The sequence below is a fragment of the Homo sapiens genome, chromosome 3 (genome assembly GCF_000001405.40).
Source record: "Homo sapiens chromosome 3, GRCh38.p14 Primary Assembly".
NCBI lineage: Eukaryota > Metazoa > Chordata > Mammalia > Primates > Hominidae > Homo > Homo sapiens.
Window position 1 is genome coordinate 50,204,161 of NC_000003.12, and position 18,110 is coordinate 50,222,270.

At 58.7% G+C, this 18,110-nt stretch overlaps 1 protein-coding gene across 3 annotated transcripts, besides 6 other annotated features; it reads left to right on the top strand.

Moving 5' to 3' along the window:
• Positions 1 to 1,110: 1,110 nt before the first annotated feature.
• SLC38A3 (solute carrier family 38 member 3) lies at positions 1,111 to 17,326 on the top strand. 3 transcript variants are annotated; one of them, XM_006712954.4, is made up of 16 exons: positions 1,111 to 3,317; positions 9,989 to 10,140; positions 10,242 to 10,323; positions 10,493 to 10,608; positions 11,226 to 11,299; positions 11,384 to 11,476; positions 11,580 to 11,661; positions 13,078 to 13,160; positions 13,255 to 13,313; positions 13,516 to 13,680; positions 13,757 to 13,836; positions 14,110 to 14,210; positions 14,433 to 14,557; positions 14,644 to 14,788; positions 15,721 to 15,824; positions 15,913 to 17,326. In XM_006712954.4, the coding sequence occupies exons 2-16, from the start codon at positions 10,040 to 10,042 to the stop codon at positions 16,015 to 16,017; spliced, it is 1,515 nt and encodes a 504-aa protein (XP_006713017.1). In that variant the 5' UTR covers positions 1,111 to 3,317; positions 9,989 to 10,039; the 3' UTR covers positions 16,018 to 17,326. The 3 variants fall into 3 exon arrangements, 2 of the variants coding, with proteins under 2 accessions (XP_006713017.1, NP_006832.1); NM_006841.6 differs by having other exon boundaries at positions 1,111 to 1,188; XR_001739987.3 differs by lacking the exons at positions 14,644 to 14,788; positions 15,721 to 15,824; positions 15,913 to 17,326 and having other exon boundaries at positions 1,111 to 1,188; positions 14,110 to 14,328; positions 14,433 to 14,508.
• Positions 1,993 to 2,072: a silencer, noted in NCBI's record as "silent region_14384". NCBI's record gives its function as "represses an Ori minimal core promoter by ATAC-STARR-seq in GM12878 lymphoblastoid cells {active_cell/tissue: GM12878}" and the evidence as "EXISTENCE:reporter gene assay evidence [ECO:0000049][PMID:35858748]".
• Positions 5,028 to 5,556: an enhancer, noted in NCBI's record as "H3K4me1 hESC enhancer chr3:50246621-50247149 (GRCh37/hg19 assembly coordinates)". NCBI's record gives its function as "activates a minimal SCP1, AML or CMV promoter by ChIP-STARR-seq in primed H9 embryonic stem cells {active_cell/tissue: H9 hESC(primed)}" and the evidence as "EXISTENCE:reporter gene assay evidence [ECO:0000049][PMID:30033119]".
• Positions 8,437 to 9,246: an enhancer, noted in NCBI's record as "H3K4me1 hESC enhancer chr3:50250030-50250839 (GRCh37/hg19 assembly coordinates)". NCBI's record gives its function as "activates a minimal SCP1, AML or CMV promoter by ChIP-STARR-seq in primed H9 embryonic stem cells {active_cell/tissue: H9 hESC(primed)}" and the evidence as "EXISTENCE:reporter gene assay evidence [ECO:0000049][PMID:30033119]".
• Positions 15,343 to 15,512: an enhancer, noted in NCBI's record as "experimental_70487 CRE fragment used in MPRA reporter constructs". NCBI's record gives its function as "activates a minimal promoter by MPRAs in K562 erythroleukemia cells, with activity observed for both the introgressed and non-introgressed 3:50257020 variant alleles {active_cell/tissue: K562}" and the evidence as "EXISTENCE:reporter gene assay evidence [ECO:0000049][PMID:34662402]".
• Positions 15,882 to 16,382: an enhancer, noted in NCBI's record as "H3K4me1 hESC enhancer chr3:50257474-50257974 (GRCh37/hg19 assembly coordinates)". NCBI's record gives its function as "activates a minimal SCP1, AML or CMV promoter by ChIP-STARR-seq in primed H9 embryonic stem cells {active_cell/tissue: H9 hESC(primed)}" and the evidence as "EXISTENCE:reporter gene assay evidence [ECO:0000049][PMID:30033119]".
• Positions 16,383 to 16,883: an enhancer, noted in NCBI's record as "H3K4me1 hESC enhancer chr3:50257975-50258475 (GRCh37/hg19 assembly coordinates)". NCBI's record gives its function as "activates a minimal SCP1, AML or CMV promoter by ChIP-STARR-seq in primed H9 embryonic stem cells {active_cell/tissue: H9 hESC(primed)}" and the evidence as "EXISTENCE:reporter gene assay evidence [ECO:0000049][PMID:30033119]".

Consider the following 18,110-nt stretch of genomic DNA (forward strand, 5'->3'; position numbering starts at 1 on the left):
CCATGTCACAGAGGGAAACCAAGGTACGCCAGGGCTTGGCTGTGGTGGTTCTGTGAGTCAGCAGGAGAAAATCCTGGAGTCCTGACTCCCAGCCCAGGGCAGGGGAGGGTCGGGTATGTCCTCTCAGGGCATTCCCCCCGCACTGGGAAGTGGGGCAGGCATGACACAGAGAAGACCAGCTTGAATAGGAACAGCAGAGGCCATGAGATTAATCGGATCAGAGCCAGTGACTGAGAAGCAAGGGGCACAGCTGTTCTGAGAACCCCCCCACTTCACCCCGAAGGTCAGCATCTCCCCCAGCTTCCTACTGGTGGAACCTGGGACCTTAACACCCACCACCCGTCTCTGAGCACCAAGGGCCTGTGTGGAAAGCAGGCAGGGGTGGGATAAGGAGCCCCCAGCCAAGAACGGGGCCATCCTAAAACCCCTGTCTGTCCCCAGGACACCAAGTCCCAGCCCCCTTCTTGTGGACAGGCTGACAGCTGTCTCCTACACCTTCTAAATAAGGACGGGGGTCATGGTCGGGGGGCCCCAGGTGAGGCTCAAGCAAGCCAAGCCTTACTCCTTGCCTGACCTCACTGCCCCTGCCCTCTGTGTTCCAGCCTCAGCCTCCTCTGAATATCTGGGGTGGAGACAGAATTGATATAAGAAGCCCTCCCACCCTCGCCCCCACCCCACCCCTGGTTGGGAAGGGGGAGGCAGGTAGAAGAGGTATTTTGTTGCCTGAGTGTCGCCTGAAAGTCCCCCATTCAAGCATCTCTCACTGAGGCTATGCATTGCCAGTCCTCTTGGCGGAAGCTCCCCTTCTGGCTTTGGGGGGTGTGGGCAAAGCATTTCAGGGGTTAATGTGACACCCACAGACCTCAGAGAGAATCTGCTTTGGACTGAAGCATTCCCCCCACAAGACTCAACGGAGTCCCTCTGGCAGCTCTGCTCTCCCACCTAGGGGCTCCCTAACGCTCAGGCCGCCCCTTTGCTCCCGGCCTGCCCCGGCCCCCGCCATTCCCCCGACCAGCCCCTCCTCCCGCGGGCCGCCAGGGATTGGCGGGCGGGGGGCGGGCCGGGGGCGGGGCCGGGCGCCCTTCATCCCGCGTCGCTGTTGTCGCTGTTGCAGCCGAGTTCAGCCGGGAGCAGAGCGAACCGCACCGGCCCGAGCGGAGCGCCGCACGTTCCCAACCGCGAGGCCAGGTACCGCTTCGGGAGTTCATCCCACCCGCACAGGGGAATCGGGTGGGCCGAGCCCTACTGTCCACCCTCCTGTCCGTAGCCGGGCTCTGGGCAGCTCTCCTCTACCGTCCTGACCCGGGCAGGCGCCCCAGCCTCCGGCGAGCCAAAGCCCCGCGCGCTCCAGGCGCTGGTCTTGGGGACCTGCCAGTCGGGACTCAGCGCCGAGCTTAAGCAGGGCCCTGGGGGTACCGGGAGGGACACGTCGTCGCCTTAGGGCCTCTCGGCGGGGCTGCGAGGTACAGCAGGAGGTCGGCGGCACCCGGGGCTGGGACCACAGGACGCCTTGTTGGGGGCTCGGGCGGCACACCACAGGCTTCCTGAGGCAGGGCCCATGGGGCAGGCTGGAGAGGGCCCGAGGGGAGGACCCAAGAGGGGCCTGGAGCAGTCCCTGGAGCGCTGCCCCGACGGGCGCCTGACAGGCAGAGCAGCCCGGCTGGCACGATGGGAATCCGGGTATATTTATCTCGGCTGCTCCGGACAAGGGCTTGAGGGCAGATCGGGCCGGGCCGCCTGAGGGGCCGCGGGGTACATGCTGGTCCCAGAGCCGGTGCCATTTGCAGAGGAGCCAGCGGGCACAGCGGGCGCAGGGCGCGAGTGGCTCCCTGACCTGAGGCCGGGGCGCCGTGCGAGCTCCTCCCCACCTGGCGCTGGGTAGGGTGTAAGTTAGAGCCCGCGCAGCGCACGGCGGAGAGAAGGAACCAAGACTTGGTTTGCAAGAGCCCGCCCCCGCCCGGTTGGCCCCTTCGATTGGCCACAGCAAATGCGTGCGTTTGTTTACACCCAGGCAGGGGGAGGCCAGGGGAGGGACCTGCGGGGACCCGCCCTTTTCCCCCCACGGGGACCTGAGTCCTGAGTCCAGGTATGGGCTCTCAAACAGGTCTGAGAAAGGCTAAGTCAAAGGCTCTTGAGCCCTGAGGAACACCATGGAGGACTTCCCCACTCATGCCCATCCTTCCTTCAGCCTGCCAACCCTGTCCTTTCTTCCATGACCGACTCTGGCCACAGAGCTGCCCCTGGAAAAGGCCCTTGGACCTTTCACCCCTTCCTGTTCTGTTCTGTAAAAGGTCTGGGATGGGGCTCATTTCCTTCTGGAAAGGAAGCACATCCCTCGGGGCTCTCAGTCTGGGGGATAGAAAGCTAAAGAGACCCAAAGATGGTTCCATTTTGAATGGGGGAAATTCGGCACAGCCACGGTACCCTTCCTGCAAGAAGCATCACTGACGGGAGGGATCAGGACTGGAAGAGGCCAAGCCTGGCACGTCTCTGAGAGGGCTGGAATGACTGAAACCAGAAATGGGAATCTGATTTCTTGACATTGGGAGCAGGGGGCTGAATCTCTGGGGAGGGTAGGAGTCTGTATCTCAGAATTTTGTTCTGCCTGGGCCCATGGGACCCATGTCTTCGCTGGCTTCTCAAGCCACTCCTTGTTGTGTGCTGGTTTTTTTGGCCCATGTCACAAATGGTCCCCACACCAGTCCAGGGCTCCAGGTTGCCAGATCATGACAACTGGTTGCTCCTGTCCTTGTGCCACTGCCCTAGCAAGTAGCCTTGAAGCCCTGGACAGTTGGAGAAACTGAGGCACAACAAGACTGGCTGGGTGGTTCATGGTCTCTGGGTTGAGTCAGAGAAGGATTTTAAGCTGAACTGGACACACCCTGGAAGTCTGGGCTGGGTGTGAGGACAAGCATCCAGTTTGAGAGGGAAACATATTTGGAGGGGAGTGGTGTGGGGTGGGCCACCAGGGAGGTGCAGTTTTGGTGTCTCTGTGAACAGAAAGCTGAGGTGGAATGTGCAGTCTATGCTATAGTAGAATTGGGACCCAGTGGGAGGATGTTTTAGTGTAGACATGGCCAGGGGCCAGGCCTCACTTGGAGCAGGTAAGAGGGCTTGCCGAGGGCCTCAAATGCATTCCATTCGTTTATTTTTTTTATTTTTTTCATTTTTTGAGGTGGGGTCTCACTCTGTTGCCCAAGCTGGAGTGCAGTGGCACAATCTCGCCTCACTGCAACCGCCGCCTCCCAGGCCCAAGCAATTCTCCCACCTCAGCCTTCTGAGTAGCCAGGACCGCAAGTGTGCAACATCAAGCCTGGGTAATTTTTTTTGTATTTTTGGTAGAGACAGGGTTTCATCATGTTGTCCAGACTGGTCTCGGACTCCTGACCTCAAGCAGTCTGCCTGCCTTGGCCTCCCAAAGTGCTGGAATTACAAGTCTAAGCCACCGCGCCCGGCCATTCCATTCATTTAACATTTGCTGAGCACCTACTGTGTGCCCGGGGTACACTCTTGTCTAGTGGGTGAAGGGTAGGCCTTTGACTCTGGGTGGTAGGACAGACATAGGAGAACAGGGTGGGGCTCTAGAGGACCAGGCGGGGCTTCTGGGGGCCAAAGGGAAGGACCAGCTGCTGGGCAGGAGGGGCTTTCCGGCCAGTGGCCTGGGGTGGCTTGGTTTTGAATTTCCGCTCTGCGGGCCACGTCCTGTACACAGCCTCTCAGCCAGCACGTCTGCACACGTGCATGGCTGCTGGGAATGGGGGTCACTCCGACTGACCATCATCTCCACATGTATTTTCCATTGCTCAGGTAGACAAGTCCTGGGTGCTGGACCAGGGATATCTGAGCTTTCCAGTTGGGCCTGGCCTTGTGGCCCTAGTGGGCTCAGCCCCAGCCTCTGGGTGTCATAGCACCTGGTTGGTAGGGGCATAACCTGCTCTGTGGGGACCTGGAGGTGCAGCAGCCTTTTTGTGGGGTCCTCCAGGGTTCTGCCTGGCCATCTTGGCAGTGCCCATTGGGCCTACTGCCCCCTCAGCTGGGCCCCCTGGCTCCCTCTCCCCTTCTCGCTCTTTCTGGGGCTCTCTTTTTCTTCAGCTTTCTCTCTTTTTTTTTTTTTTTTTTTGAGATAGGGTCTCGCTGTGTTACCCAGGCTGGAGTGCAGCGGCGTGATCTTGGTTCACTGTAGCCTCTGCCTCCCAGGTTCAAGCAGTTCTCCTGCCTCAGCCTCCCGAGTAGCTGGGATTACAGGCACCTGCCACCATGCCTGGATAATTTTTGTATTTTTAGTAGAGATGGGGTTTCACCATGTTGGCCAGGCTGGTCTCAAACTCCTGGGCTCAGGTGATCTGCCCGCCTCGGCCTCCCAAAGTGCTGGGATTACAGGCGTGAGCCACCATGCCCGGCCTTACAGCTGTCTCTTGCTGTCTTGTTGTCTGTCTCTTCCTCCATTTGGCTGTCTCTGACTGGGTGCTCACTCTGTTTCTCACCTCCCTGGTTGTTTCTGTCGCTGTCTGTCTCCTGTCTAAATGTCTGTCCGCTATCTGCATGTGGTTTTTGTCTGTGTGTTTTTCTGTCTGTGTCCCTCTGTGTGCATCTGCATTTCCCTGTCACCCTGGGCCGCTGCATCTCTGTCTGTCTGTCTCTGTGTGTGGATCAGTATGCATGGACGCATGGAGCTAATGACTGTGTTTTCTCTCCCTGCTCTGTCCCTGTCTATCTCTCTTCCCTCCCTCTGCCTTTTCTTCCTGATGTTGGATGTCTCCCCTCCTCCAGGCCGACCTTGACTTTAGCCCCCCATCGGACTCTCTGATGAGTCCTGAACTGCCCGAGGCCTGTGCTTCAGCTTGCTTTGGGGCCAGAAGTCCGGCTGTCTAAATATTTGGCCGCCTCCAGGGGATTCCGGGTCAGCAGGGAGGAGAATGGGCTGGCTGGCGCAGGGTCTCCCCTGCCCCTGGGGGGCCACAGTCACGTGATGTCCTGTCCTTTGCCTCAGCTGGGCCTCCGGCTGCACGTCCTTCTCAGCAGGCTGGCAATGGGTGAGGTGGGGGCTGCTGTTGCTCTAGCCCACTCGTGAACCAAGAGCTTCTGACTGCAACCTCTATGGGTGGCAGCCTGAGCAAGGAGGGTCCAGGGCTGGGTGGGAAGGGAGGCTGAGGTGCCTAAGGTTAGGCCCAGCTACAAGCATCTGTTAGAAAACGTACCTGGCCATGGCCGGGCGCAGTGGCTCAAGCCTGTAATCCCAGCACTTTGGGAGGCCAAGGTGGGTGGATCACGAGGTCAGGAGATCGAGACCATCCTGGCTAACATGGTGAAACCCCGTCTCTACTAAAAAATACAAAAAATTAGCTGGGCGTGGTGGCGGGCGCCTGTAGTCCCAGCTACTCGGGAAGCTGAGGCAGGAGAAAGGTGTGAACCCAGGAGGCGGAGGTTGCAGTGAGCCGAGATCACGCCACTGCACTCCAGCCTGGGTGACAGAGCAAGACTCCGTCTCAAAAAAAAAAAACAAGAAAAAAAAAGAAAATGTACCCGGCCACAGGAAAGTCTACCTTCCGGCCCCAGCTGGGTCTCTCAGATCCTCCTAGACACCTCCGGATGCCCAGAACACAGAGCCACAGACCCTAGATCCCAAGGCCAGGGAGCTGGGGGCTGAGGATTAACATGGCCGGTAGTTCAGTTCTCTGGGCCATCTGCCTTCCCCTGGATATGCCCCCGCCTGCATGTCACTTCTTCAGTATTAGCCCAGTGTTGGCCACACACTGGCCACTTGCACTGTTGTGTTGTTGATGAGGAGGACATGAAAACATGGGTCTAGAGGAGGGTAAGAGGTGTCTTTTCCCTGTTCTAACACCCTCCTCCCACCTGCTTTGTCCCTAGACCCCTGACCCCAGCAATCAGCTACCACCAATTCCTATGGCTGTGCCTTGAGAACATGCAGTCCAAATGTCTCCATTGGATCTGGTTTCCCCCCTTACTAACACCTTCTCCTAGTAGGGGGCATCTTCCCTCTGAAGCCTGGAGGAGCAGGTGGACAGAGGGGTAGCTGTCCAGATGGGTACCAGACTTAGGAGGGGGGCACCCTGTCTCAGCCAAGGAGGGGAGTGGTAAAAATGAGCTGAGCTGGAACTGGGGGCAGCCCTCACCCCTGAGCCCCCAGGGATAATCACGATGGACCCTCAAGCCAGGCCAGCTGTCTCTCTCCTGAGATCTTGGCGGAGGTCAGGTAGCCTGGGCCTCAGCAATAAGCTCCAGAGGGTCTGTGCCTCCACTGGTGCAAGTCGTCACCAAGGTAAAAAGAGTGCGAAGGCCTCCCTGTCACCAGCTCACTACTGCCGACCCAGACCCACTTATGTTCCTGAGCATGGGGAAGGAAAGCAAGGCTCAGAGTCCTGGGGACTCCAAGGACCTTGATCCCTGGGCAGAGAGCTGTGCTTCCTGTAGCTGCTTGCATCAGCCGCCCTGAAGTGGCCTGGGTTCCTGGGGCTCAAAATCTTTAATTAGCCAAACTCAACACCTGCCGAGGTGTGCCTGATGAATTCTCACCAGGTGATGTTCGCGTGGGCGGGCGTTACCTGCTGCGCCATCCCTGTGGCTCCTGGCCCCTCCTGGCCCTTATCTCCCAGGAAAACAAACAGGTCCCAGGGCAATGGCCTGGGCCATTGATTTACTGCCCGGGTTCACACTACATCCATGACAGATGCCATTCTGATGACCTGCCCAAGGCCACCGTGATCTCCCCACCCTAGCTCCTGGCCACTCTCTGGGCACCCATGGACTGTTCTGGGGATGAAGGCTTTGGGGAGGCTCCTCACTCATCCCCAGCTTTGACCAAGCCTCACGGGACCCCTAGAGGACAGGGATACACTGAGGTCCTGAGCTGGGGAGTACCCTGCCCCTGGCCACACAGTGAGGCAGGGCCAAGCCCAGCCCTAGAGGGTCTACTCTGGGCTTTCACCACAGGGGATCAGGCTCTGCTGGCAGCCTTTCTTATGCAGGAGCCCTTCCCTGAGTTTACCCCGATTCCGATTCCCGGATACAAAGGAGCCTGGGAGGCCACAGGCCTGAGGGGTAGGAGCTGTCAAAAATGGGCTGGCAGCCTCAGGGAATGGCTGGGGGCTCCATGCCAGGCCAGTGCTAATCCTCACCCTGGCCCCCAGCCCCCAGCCCTCCTCCCTGCCCTGGACCAAAGTCCAGACTCCTAGACCTGGCCTTTACAGCTGTATCAGGTTTGTCTGTTGCCACAGAACCTTCCTTCAACGCTTACAGCTTGCCTCGTACTGCACCTCAGGGCCTCTGCCTATGCTGTGCTCTCTGCCTGGTACACTCTTTCCTGTTTGACACCCCAGGGTGCCTACTGGAATTTTAGTACTGGCTTCGCACCTCCTCCAGGAAGTCTTCCTTGATGCCCCCATCCTTTTTTTTTTTTTTTTTTTTTTTTTTTCTTTTTTTTTGAGATGGAGTTTGGCTCTTGTTGCCCAGGCTGGAGTGCAATGGCGCAATCTCAGCTCACTGCAACCTCCACCTCCTGGGTTCAAGCAATTCTCCTGCCTCAGCCTCCTGCGTAGCTGGGATTACAGGCATGCGCCACCAGCCCGGCTAATTTTGTATTTTTAGTAGAGATGGGGTTTTTCCATGTTGGTCAGGCTAGTCTCAAACTCCTGACCTCAGGTGATCCTGCTCTCCTCGGCCTCCCAAAGTGCTGGTATTACAGGCGTGAGCCACTGCGCCCGGCACCCCCATCCTCTTTTTTGAGACCCAGCATTATGTGGCTCACACTCAGTTGCAGCAGGAGCTATAGAGTAGTGATGAGGGTGCTATCTGGGGGGATTTGTCTCTTCCAGGCTGGAGGTCACTTAAGGAGAGATATTCTAAATCCTTTCTGGGATCTCAGGCCTGCCCAAGACCCAGCAATGACTGATCATGATTGAGTAATAGCTACCAGGCCCCAAAGGTCTAGGCCCAGCTACTGCAGGGGGGATGGGGAATCTGGAGCTCAGACCTCAGACACCTCCCACGGCCCATGCCACAGACTGTGGTCTCCCTGGAGGCAGTGCCTGGCTGCTACAGAAGGATATTAGGGCAGAGAAGGGTGTTTTGTCCAGACTGCCAGCTCAGCACACTCTGAGGGCCTGTCCCAGCCTGCCCAGGGCAGGGGGCCGAGAGAGGGCACCCCCAGCTGAGTGCAGGGGGGACTCTGGAGTAGCTCTGGACGCCAGCACTGGCACCTCTATACCCAGGTGGGACACTTGGAGGGATGCTGATGGCAAGGCTTAGGGCAGGGGCATGAGGACATGTGGACCTAGGCAACCCTGGGGTCAGGGGAGAAGGCTCAATAAGAGATGCTAACATTGTTATAGTCCCGAGTAGGTGGGTCTGGGAGGAGAGGAGGTAAGATGCTTGCATCAGAAGGAGAGGCAGGTTTGAGGGATGCAAGAGTGCCATGTGTGGGGTCTCCAGGATCCAGGTGCCAGAATCTGAACTCTGGCCTGGGGCTGCCTGGGGCAGTGCAGGGAGGGAGTCCTCTGACCAGAGAGGCCAGAGGCTGCTGTGACCTCTGCTGCCTCCAGGGGCACCAGGCCTGAGGCCTGAGCCCAGCCTCTCTTGTTCACCCCTAGCCCTGAGTGCTACGTTTGAGTTCCCCAGTGCTCCAGATTCAAGGGCAGACCTGAGACCATCAGGGGCCGGAGTGGGGATGGGGGGTTCAGGGCAGAATTCAGGGTTCTCCATCAGAGAGGGCACCACGGATTCAGGACCAGGTTCTGGCTGTCCTGCCTGGCAGGGCTGCCCCCCTCACTGGTCTCCACTCTGGCCTCAGCTCTCCTCCTGGCCAGGCTGGCCTTCAGGGTGTCCTTACAGAACCTGGGGGCACTATGCCCAGCCACCTCTGGTTATGAGGTAGGCAATTCCTGGACCCAGTGATGGGAGAGAGGGGCCAGTGAGTTGTCTGGGCAGCGGGCAGGGGTGGTGGAGGAAGGAGAGCTGGTTCCTTTGAGGCCCAGCAGGGCCAAGCCCTGAGAGCAGAGAAGGGAGACTGATCTGGTGACCCAGGCTCCTCTACAGCCGGCCAAGGGCCTGAGCTCCTGGCCTGGGGCCCTAGGAAATGGGGGTCTGTTCAAAGGGTCCACTCCTGGACAGCGGGCCCCTGAGGGTTGGGGGTTCCCTGCCTGGCAGTGGAGGAGAGGCTTGGAAAAAAACATGGCCCTGAGGCCAGGACTGTGTGGAGGGTGAGGTGTGTGTGGCACAGAGAACTGGCCCTGGAGCACCCGTTTCCTGGAAGGCCCCCTGAGGGCCCTTTGCTGCAGCCAGGCGGGAAGGGCCCAGGTGTCCAGCCACCCAGCACCGCCTCAGGCATCCTGGCTCTGGGGAGGGGGGACAGCCTCTGCGCCTGCCGTTCCCAGCGCCAGCTCTCAGCCCACAGAGGGCTCTTTGTTCTGGCTGCCAGCAGTGCCCGCCGGGCGGCTGGGAACAGGGCCCACAGCCCTCACCCTCTCCCGAGGCCTCCAGCCGTCGGGCAGTGCCATTCTAGGTTGGGCAGGAGGCCCCTGGACACAGGGCCAGTGCAGGAAACCATCTCCCACTATTGATGTCAAGGAGGAGAAGTCTGTCCTGGGTACATACCCAGAGTGAAGTCTGGGGGCCTGGGACTGAGCATCTGGGGATGCTGGTGCCACTGGGCTCTGAACTCGGGTCATCCAGATGACCGTCACTTCACAGATGGTGAAACCGAGACCCTAAGGGCTTGCCTGGACGGGTGTGCATGTAAGAAGTGCATTATGTACTGGCTAGGGTGTCCCATCAGAACGTCCTAGGAACTCAGGTGTCTGAGCTGGATTCCCCCAACAGCAGATCCCAGGGAGGCAGTAGGCAGAGCTGCATGTGTGGATATGCCCCGAGTGACCATCTGGGAGGTGTGCTATGGCTGCAGGCCTCAGGTAGGAGGCTAGGCCGTAGGCCCAAGTAACGGGGCTAACCAGAGGGACCGGCTGCTCTGCAGACATCTGACTGTTGGTGTGAGACCAGTGCTCCTGGTGGTGTGCCCTGAGCCATGGAGGCGCCTTTGCAGACAGAGATGGTGGAGCTGGTGCCCAATGGCAAACACTCAGAGGGGCTGCTCCCGGTCATCACCCCCATGGCAGGCAACCAGAGGTGAGTACCAGAGGGACCCAGTGGTGGCTGAAGACAGGGCAGGGCAGGGATACAGAGCAAAGGGCTGGAGCTGAGCCACCCACCCTGACCTGTGCCTACAGGGTCGAGGACCCTGCACGGAGCTGTATGGAGGGCAAGAGCTTCCTACAGAAAAGTCCCAGCAAGGAGCCACACTTCACTGACGTGAGCAGGGCAGCAACGGGTTTTAGGGGACACTGTGGGGAGCTTGGATGCAGTAATGAGGTGGTCTCTGGCAGCAGTGGGAGGCTGAGGGACAGTCAGGGGAAGGCTGCGATGCCCCTGTCCCTTGCTGACTCCTCCCACCCTCCCCGTCCCATTCTGGTGCCTGCAGTTCGAGGGGAAGACATCATTCGGGATGTCAGTGTTCAACCTCAGCAATGCCATCATGGGCAGCGGCATCCTGGGACTCGCCTATGCCATGGCCAATACGGGCATTATCCTTTTCCTGTGAGTGCCCTCAGAGAAACTTCTAAAGATAGGGGCCCTAAGCAAGCCACCAATCATGACCTCCCAGGACCCGCCAGTTCCCTGTCCCAGCATCCAGGCTGCAGTGGGTGGGCACTTCTTACACTAACAAACCGCGGCTGAAAAAAACATCCACAGCCAAACAAATATACCTCACTGCCCAGTAAACCGACTGAGGTCACAACACAGGCCGGTCTTACAGGCCAGAGACTGTCCTTTTGGCACCTTACACGTGATGGCCAAGCCCCACGGCCAGGCCTTGTGTGGGCACACGTGTCCTTTGGCTGGGGGCTCTGCCCTGAAGCCAGAATGGAAAACATGTTTGTTTCAAGGACTCAAGAGGAGGACGTGCTCAGAGGGCAGTCACAGGGACACTCTTGACCCAGAGGGCCCCTTCTGGGGTGTGTCGCACCCTGGATCAAAGGGGGTGGTGTTCATCACCCCTGGGGCCTGCTGAGCTGGCATCCATACCTGTTGGGAGTCCAGACACCCAGGTCACAGACCCTCCACCCCCAGGCCTCCCAGAGCCCCTCACCCTCTGCCAGCCACGGTAGCCCCCCAGTGGCCTCTTTTTCTTCCATCTTCCCATGTGTCCCCAGGTTCCTGTTGACAGCTGTCGCCTTGCTCTCCAGCTACTCCATCCACCTGCTACTCAAGTCCTCAGGGGTCGTGGGTGAGCCTCACACCAGCCTGGAATGGGCGGGAGCTGGTGGGTAAACTGGGACAAGCTCCTGACTTCTTGACCCTGCTCCTGCAGGCATCCGTGCCTATGAGCAGCTGGGCTACCGTGCCTTTGGGACCCCAGGAAAGCTGGCAGCAGCCCTGGCCATCACGCTCCAGAACATCGGAGGTAAGAGCAGTGGGCAGGGGCAGGCAGTAGGGAGGTGGACAGCCCTGAAAGCTGGCTGGTTGGGCTGACCTCAGCGCCTGCCTGCCCGCCCCTCTCCCCACAGCCATGTCCAGCTACCTGTACATCATCAAGTCTGAGCTGCCACTTGTCATACAGACCTTCCTGAACCTGGAGGAGAAAACCTCGTGAGCCCTGGCGTGGGGAGGGGAGGGGAGGGGTGCGGTGCAGTGAGGAGGGGTGGGGTGGGGTGGGGCTGGGTGAGGGTGGGGGGGCCCAGGCTGGGCTGGTGGGAGAGACAAGACAAAGCAGACAAGAAGCTGGTGGAGTGGGGAGAGTTGCCCGCAGAGCCAGCATTCAGTTCACACTCACTTGGGAAGCACCTTGGAGACCCCCCTCCAGAAGGGGCTTGTGGGGCTAGGGGCAGGGTGCAGCTGAGGAAGCTGGGCCTCTCCTCACCCCGGACCCAGCCTGTGAGCGTGGGAGGCTCAGGCTTAGCTCTAAGCGCCTGCTATTCCTGACCATGGGGTTGCCCCCCCCAACCAAGATATTAAGCCCAGGTGTCCCAGTTGCCTATCACTTTAGCCAGCATTGACTGGGCATCAAACGTGTTTTGTGGGACAGAGGGGACACAGCCAGGCCCTGCTCTTGACAGCCCAGCCCGAGCAAGCAGAGGGGCTGGGAGGCTGAGAGTAGCTCCGGCAAGAGGGAGAGCCAGGATTCTGCCGCTGGGGCCCTGGGCCTTTCCCAAGGAGTTGGCCTCAGGGCTTGCCTTTGAGGATGGTCCTGGCCCTTATCCCCTTGTTTCTCTGTGCCCCGTATCCATTCCTGGTGGGTAGAGGAGGGGGCCGGATGAGGCAAGGCCCAGATGCCAGAAGGAACCGCAAGGAGCACAGGTTATTGCAAGTGCCAGAAACCCCCGTGGAAAATACCACCTCCCTCTAGAACCAGGTCCCTCTTCCTCCTCCCACCCACCTCCATCCAAAGGCTGGGCCCAGACCTGTGTATCCTGAGAAAAGCAACAGCAGTGCCTACAATAGAGAGGGTCCTGAGCATGAGCTGTGTGCCAGGCTGGAACCTTAGTTCTCATGTCACCCTGAAGGACAGTACTGAAGGCACGCCCTTTGTTTTGTTTTGTTTTGTTTTGTTTTGTTTGTGAGACGGAGTCTCGCTCAGTCGCCCAGGCTGGAGTACAGTGGCACAATCTTGGCTCACTGCAACCTCTGCCTCCCGGGTTCTTGTGATTCTCCTGCCTCAGTCTCCTGAGTAGCTGAGATTATAGGCGTGTGCCACCATGCCCGGCTAATTTTTTTGTATTTTTAGTAGAGATGGGGTTTCACCATGTTGGTCAGGCTGGTCTCGAACTCCTGACCTGATGATCCACCCACCTCAGCCTCCCAAAGTGCTGGGATTACAGGCGTGAACCACCGCGCCCAGCTGGGCATGCCCATTTTGCAGATGGGGAAAGTGAGACTCAGAGCTGTGGACAAACATTCTTCAGATGTCACTCAGTGGCACCATTGGTAACTCCAGCAGAGGGAGGCAGGGGCCCCATCCCAGGCTGAATGGATTCTGACCCTGGCTCCCGACTCATGTCCCTGCAGGGACTGGTACATGAACGGGAACTACCTGGTAATCCTTGTCTCTGTCACCATCATTCTGCCCCTGGCACTGATGCGGCAGCTTGGTGAGTGTGGAAGGGTCAGAGCCTTGGAGGGGATGTTGGAGGCATACACCATGGGAGGGGCCCCAGGTCTCAGAGTGCTCCCTCCACTTTGCAGGCTACCTGGGCTACTCCAGCGGCTTCTCTCTTAGCTGCATGGTGTTCTTCCTAATTGCAGTGAGTCACCCTCCATGTTGGCTGAGAAAGCGGGCAGCGGGTCTCCTGGGGGAGTTCCCTGTCATCAGGAGGGGGCAGGTGTCTCTGGGAAGCCTGGGCCAGAAGGCAGCTCCACCAGTCCTGATCTAGATGTGGCTTCATGGTGACTTCCCAGGCAGTCCAGCCTGGGAGTCTCTGACACCCTCATCCCTCCCCACTCCAGGTCATCTACAAAAAGTTCCACGTGCCCTGCCCACTGCCCCCCAACTTCAACAACACCACAGGCAACTTCAGCCACGTGGAGATCGTGAAGGAGAAGGTGCAGCTGCAGGTCGAGCCTGAGGCTTCAGCCTTCTGCACTCCCAGCTACTTCACGCTCAACTCACAGGTTCTGACAGGTCAGGGCAAGGCGGGGGCCCAATGAGAGTGGCAGACTGCCTTGACACAGCCCCGTGTTTCCCCAGACAGCATACACCATCCCCATCATGGCCTTCGCCTTCGTCTGCCACCCCGAGGTGCTGCCCATCTATACTGAGCTCAAGGAGTAGGTGTCTGTGGCTGGGAGTGGGGGTGGGGATGCCCTGAGCTGGTTTGGGGAGAATGGATGTGGTCCTGAATGTGGAGAGGGGAGTGACAGGAGCCAAGTCACTTTATCTGAGATGTCCTTGGCAGCCATGAGAGGTGATTATGAGCAAGAAGGAGACTCCCTCAGATGCTGAATGGTGAAAGTATGGTGCCAGAGAGAGCTTGGGGCACATGGGGGTCTCCCAATGTTACCCAGCTTGTCACCAACACCCACCCCCCCACTTCCCCACAGCCCCTCCAAGAAGAAGATGCAGCACATCTCCAACCTGTCCATCGCTGTCATGTACATCATGTACTTCCTGGCTGCCCTCTTCGGCTACCTCACCTTCTACAGTACGGTGGCACCGGTGGGCAGAGGCCTAGGCTAGGCTGGGGGGAAGGGGCTGGTTGTGGCCATGGTGCCCTCCATACCGAGGCGTGTGGTGCCTGGCTGTGCCTTGCCGCTGTGGAGGTGAGTCTGCATGCCAATCCCCACAGTGTTGGGGTCCCCTAGGCAGCTCAGATCCCACCTCCTTCCTGGGGCCACCTACTGACCACCCTCCCTGCCTGCCACAGACGGGGTGGAGTCGGAGCTGCTGCACACCTACAGCAAGGTGGACCCGTTTGACGTCCTGATCCTGTGTGTGCGCGTGGCCGTGCTGACAGCAGTCACGCTCACAGTGCCCATCGTTCTGTTCCCGGTGAGCTGGTGGGCAGGTGGCTAGACTAGTGGCGGGAGGGGCTGATGGGGCCAACAGGCTGATGATTCTTCTCACCTGCCCCCCAGGTGCGCCGCGCCATCCAGCAGATGCTGTTTCCAAACCAGGAGTTCAGCTGGCTGCGGCATGTGCTTATTGCCGTTGGCCTGCTCACTTGTATCAACCTGCTGGTCATCTTTGCCCCCAACATCCTGGGCATCTTTGGGGTCATCGGTGAGGGTCTGGCCCTGCTGTGGAAGCAGGGTATTGCCCCAGAGGATTTCAACTCTGCAAATCCTGGCAGATTCCTGAGCTTACACCCTACATTAAGTGCAGTGGCCATGTGCACAGTTTGGCCTTCCATCTGAGCTTTTGTCCATAGGCTATTCTAATCCCTTTTCAGGGCTCAGAGCCACTGAGTCAGTCCCCCTTGCTGGAGGACAGGGGTGGATCCCAGGGATCAGAGGCCGCCTCAAAGGATCTCACTGGGTCTTGTCCACATTTCACATGTCAGGAAACTAAAGTTCAGAGTGATTAAAGGAGCAGCAGGGCCACACAGCTGGTGAATAGGAGCCTTGGGCTTGATTCAGCCCCAGGATCACTGGACTCCAAGTTTGATGCTCCATCCACTGCCTCATTCCAGATGGGGCTCTCAGCTGGTAGAGCAGACAATTCTGAAATGTCTTTGGGGTGATCCAACTCAGAGGACTAACAAACTCTGCCAGGACTGACAAACAGACCTGGGGGCTGAGTGTCATGGATATCACGGACAGCACTCTTCGTTCTCTATGTCCGAAATCCAACTCGAAATGAATTAAGCAGAAAGGAATCCACTGGCTCAAATAACGGAGAAGCCTTCAAGTATAGCTGCAGCCTGGAGCCCAATACCCTTAAGCCCTCATCTCTCTCCATCTCTTGATTTGCCTTTCCTCATTGCTAGCTTCATTGGCTGACATTCTTCTGACACCAACATCACCAGCCTTCTATCCTCATGGATGGAGAACAAGGGGGAGAGGCTGGTGGGCTAGAATCAGGCAGAGCTCTCCAGTGGTCTCAACATGAAACTCCCTCAACAAGGAGTGTTTGATCTCATTGAAGAGTCCACCCCCGAACCTTAGTCAGTAGGAGGATATGAGCCAGCAGTGGCCATGTCTTGTTCTTTGCAGGTGCCACATCTGCCCCATTCCTCATCTTCATCTTCCCTGCCATCTTCTACTTCCGAATCATGCCCACGGAGAAGGAGCCTGCAAGATCCACCCCCAAAATCCTGGTGCGAGGGGCCTGGAGGCCGGTGGGCTGGTATGGGGCTAAGGGAACTGCCCTGACCTCGGACCTGACCCTGACTTCTGATTCCACAGGCCCTGTGTTTTGCTATGCTTGGCTTCTTGCTGATGACCATGAGCTTGAGCTTCATCATCATTGACTGGGCCTCAGGGACCAGCCGGCATGGAGGAAACCACTAGGGTGACCCTCATCCTGTTCTGTCTACTCACCCTAGCAGCCCTGCCCAGACTCTTCAGCCCCTGCTCCCATCCAGTGGCCAGTCGGGGGAGGAGAAAGACGCGATTAACACTGTGGCATTCAGCCAGGCCCCATGTCCTCTCTGTGGAAGGTTTTTGTTCAAGAGCCAGGACCAAGGCCCTTGGGCCACTACCCTGCTAGGCTCTGGAGCTGTAGAGGCTTCCTGAACTGGGAGCAGGGTAGGGCTGTCGCCTTAGATCCCGCCCAAGCCCCTCATTCCCTCCTTGCACAGATGCATACACTGGGGCCCAGCAGCTGCCTCCTGAGGTGACACAGCCTGTAGGAACATACACAGCTGGGATCAGCCTGCAGCCATCCCCCGACCCTGCTGCTAGGCCACGGTCTGCGCCCTGGGGCCTCATCTCCCCCAGCCCACTTGTTTTCCCCCCTTTTATTCCCTAGGCCCTTTTCAGACTCCTGGGCCCTTGGATACTCTTCTCCCATCTCCCTTCACAGGATGACACCCTCCCATACCCCATAGCTGGGGCCAGCAGGTTCTGCTGAGGGTGGGGCTGGTGTAGGGACCCCCAAGAGACCCCTGTCCTGTCCCTTCACCAGTCCTGGGGAGGCTGGGACTCCCCCTGCCACAAGCCTGGGCCACAGCTCACATTCCACTGCTGGGAGAAGAAACAGGCCGAGGCCCAGAGTGGCCTGCCCCCGGGAGCCAAAGACCCCAGTGGCCACACTGGGATAGGGTGGGGAGGCTGGCAGCCCTCTTTTATAAATATTATACATAAGACCAGCTGTGTTTTCTATTCTTGGTCTCCATGGTCCCTGGATTCCTGGAAAGTGAGGTACGGGCCAGAACATGGATGGTGATGGAGGGCCCCCGTCTCCTTGTCTGGGATGAGGGTGGGGACAGGGCAAGTCCCCCACCCACCCCACCCCCTGCCTCCCAAACTAACCAGTGGCACACTCAGACCCAGCTCTGGGCCTGGGCCAGGCTCAGCACAGACCTGCTTTCTCACGGGTTGAGGTGGGGAGGAATTAATGAGGCCCCAGGAAGTGGGACAGAGAGAGGCCTCCGGAAGGAGGCAACGTGAGGTGCATCCCCAGCAGCTTCAGGGAGGGTCTGAGCTGGGGGCAGCTGAGCCCTGAGGGAGCCCCAGGAAGGGCCCCCTGCCCTCCCCTAGCTCCCAGGCTGCCATGTCAACTCTCTGTCAATGCCCTGAGTCTGGGGACAAAAGTCCAGGAATCCTGTGCCCTGTTGGGCTGATCTTTTTATCAACAGTAAAATCCACTACGAATAAAGTGGGTTAGTAGTCCCTGTGTGTGGGGCCCCAAATGGCAAAGAGAGGTGGGAGTCCAAGGTACGGCAGGGGCTGCAAGGAAGCAGGACAGCCCCAGGTGTCCTGGCCCCGGTGAGACTGGGAAGCTGCCCACTGCCTTGGGCAGGCCTGAACCAGCTGGGATCCAGTGGGATGGAGCTGCCCAGGCCTTGGCACCAAACCCTCATTAGGAGAGACCCTGCACCAGGCTAGGCCGCCGGGGAAAGGGCTGCAGGAAAGATCCAGTTTGAATTTGCAAGGCAGCTGCCAGCTCGGGAAAACCCTGAAGAAAGAACTTCCTCAAGCCGGTGGCTGCTAGGCCCACGGCAGTGCCAGCTCAGCCGAGGGGAGCTTCCTGAGTCCTGTTCCCATCAGGCCCAGGCGCCTGACTCCAGGCTGGGGACTCACCCAGGAGCCCTGTGGCCCCAGGAAAGAGCTGGTCACTGGCCTAGAGGTAGATGCAGCGCAGTGTGTTCTGATGAGAGGGGCTGCCCTCTAGAGGTCTCGATGGGGCCATAACCTTGCCTGGAACCCTTGGCTCCTGGGCAGTGGGGGTCAATGAAGGGCAAGTCCATCCTGCAGGCAGACCTGGGGGTTTTCTCTTATACTCCCTCCATCCAAAGAAGGCTGCAGGTCAGAGCAGCAGCAGGACACCAGGTCTGGCTTCAGGCCCCTCAGACCAAGGGGATGTGCTAACAGTAGCACCCCCCATGCATACACATACACACAAATGGGGTGGGGAAGGACCCTGGGCCCTGGCCCCAAGA

Coding starts and splice junctions, on each gene's coding strand:
- SLC38A3 (XM_006712954.4), top strand. CDS start 10,040: ATGGAGGCGCCTTTGCAGACAGAGATGGTGGAGCTGGTGCCCAATGGC. Junction 10,609..11,225: donor ACGGGCATTATCCTTTTCCT/GTGAGTGCCCTC, acceptor ATGTGTCCCCAG/GTTCCTGTTGACAGCTGTCG. Junction 13,314..13,515: donor TGGTGTTCTTCCTAATTGCA/GTGAGTCACCCT, acceptor TCCCCACTCCAG/GTCATCTACAAAAAGTTCCA.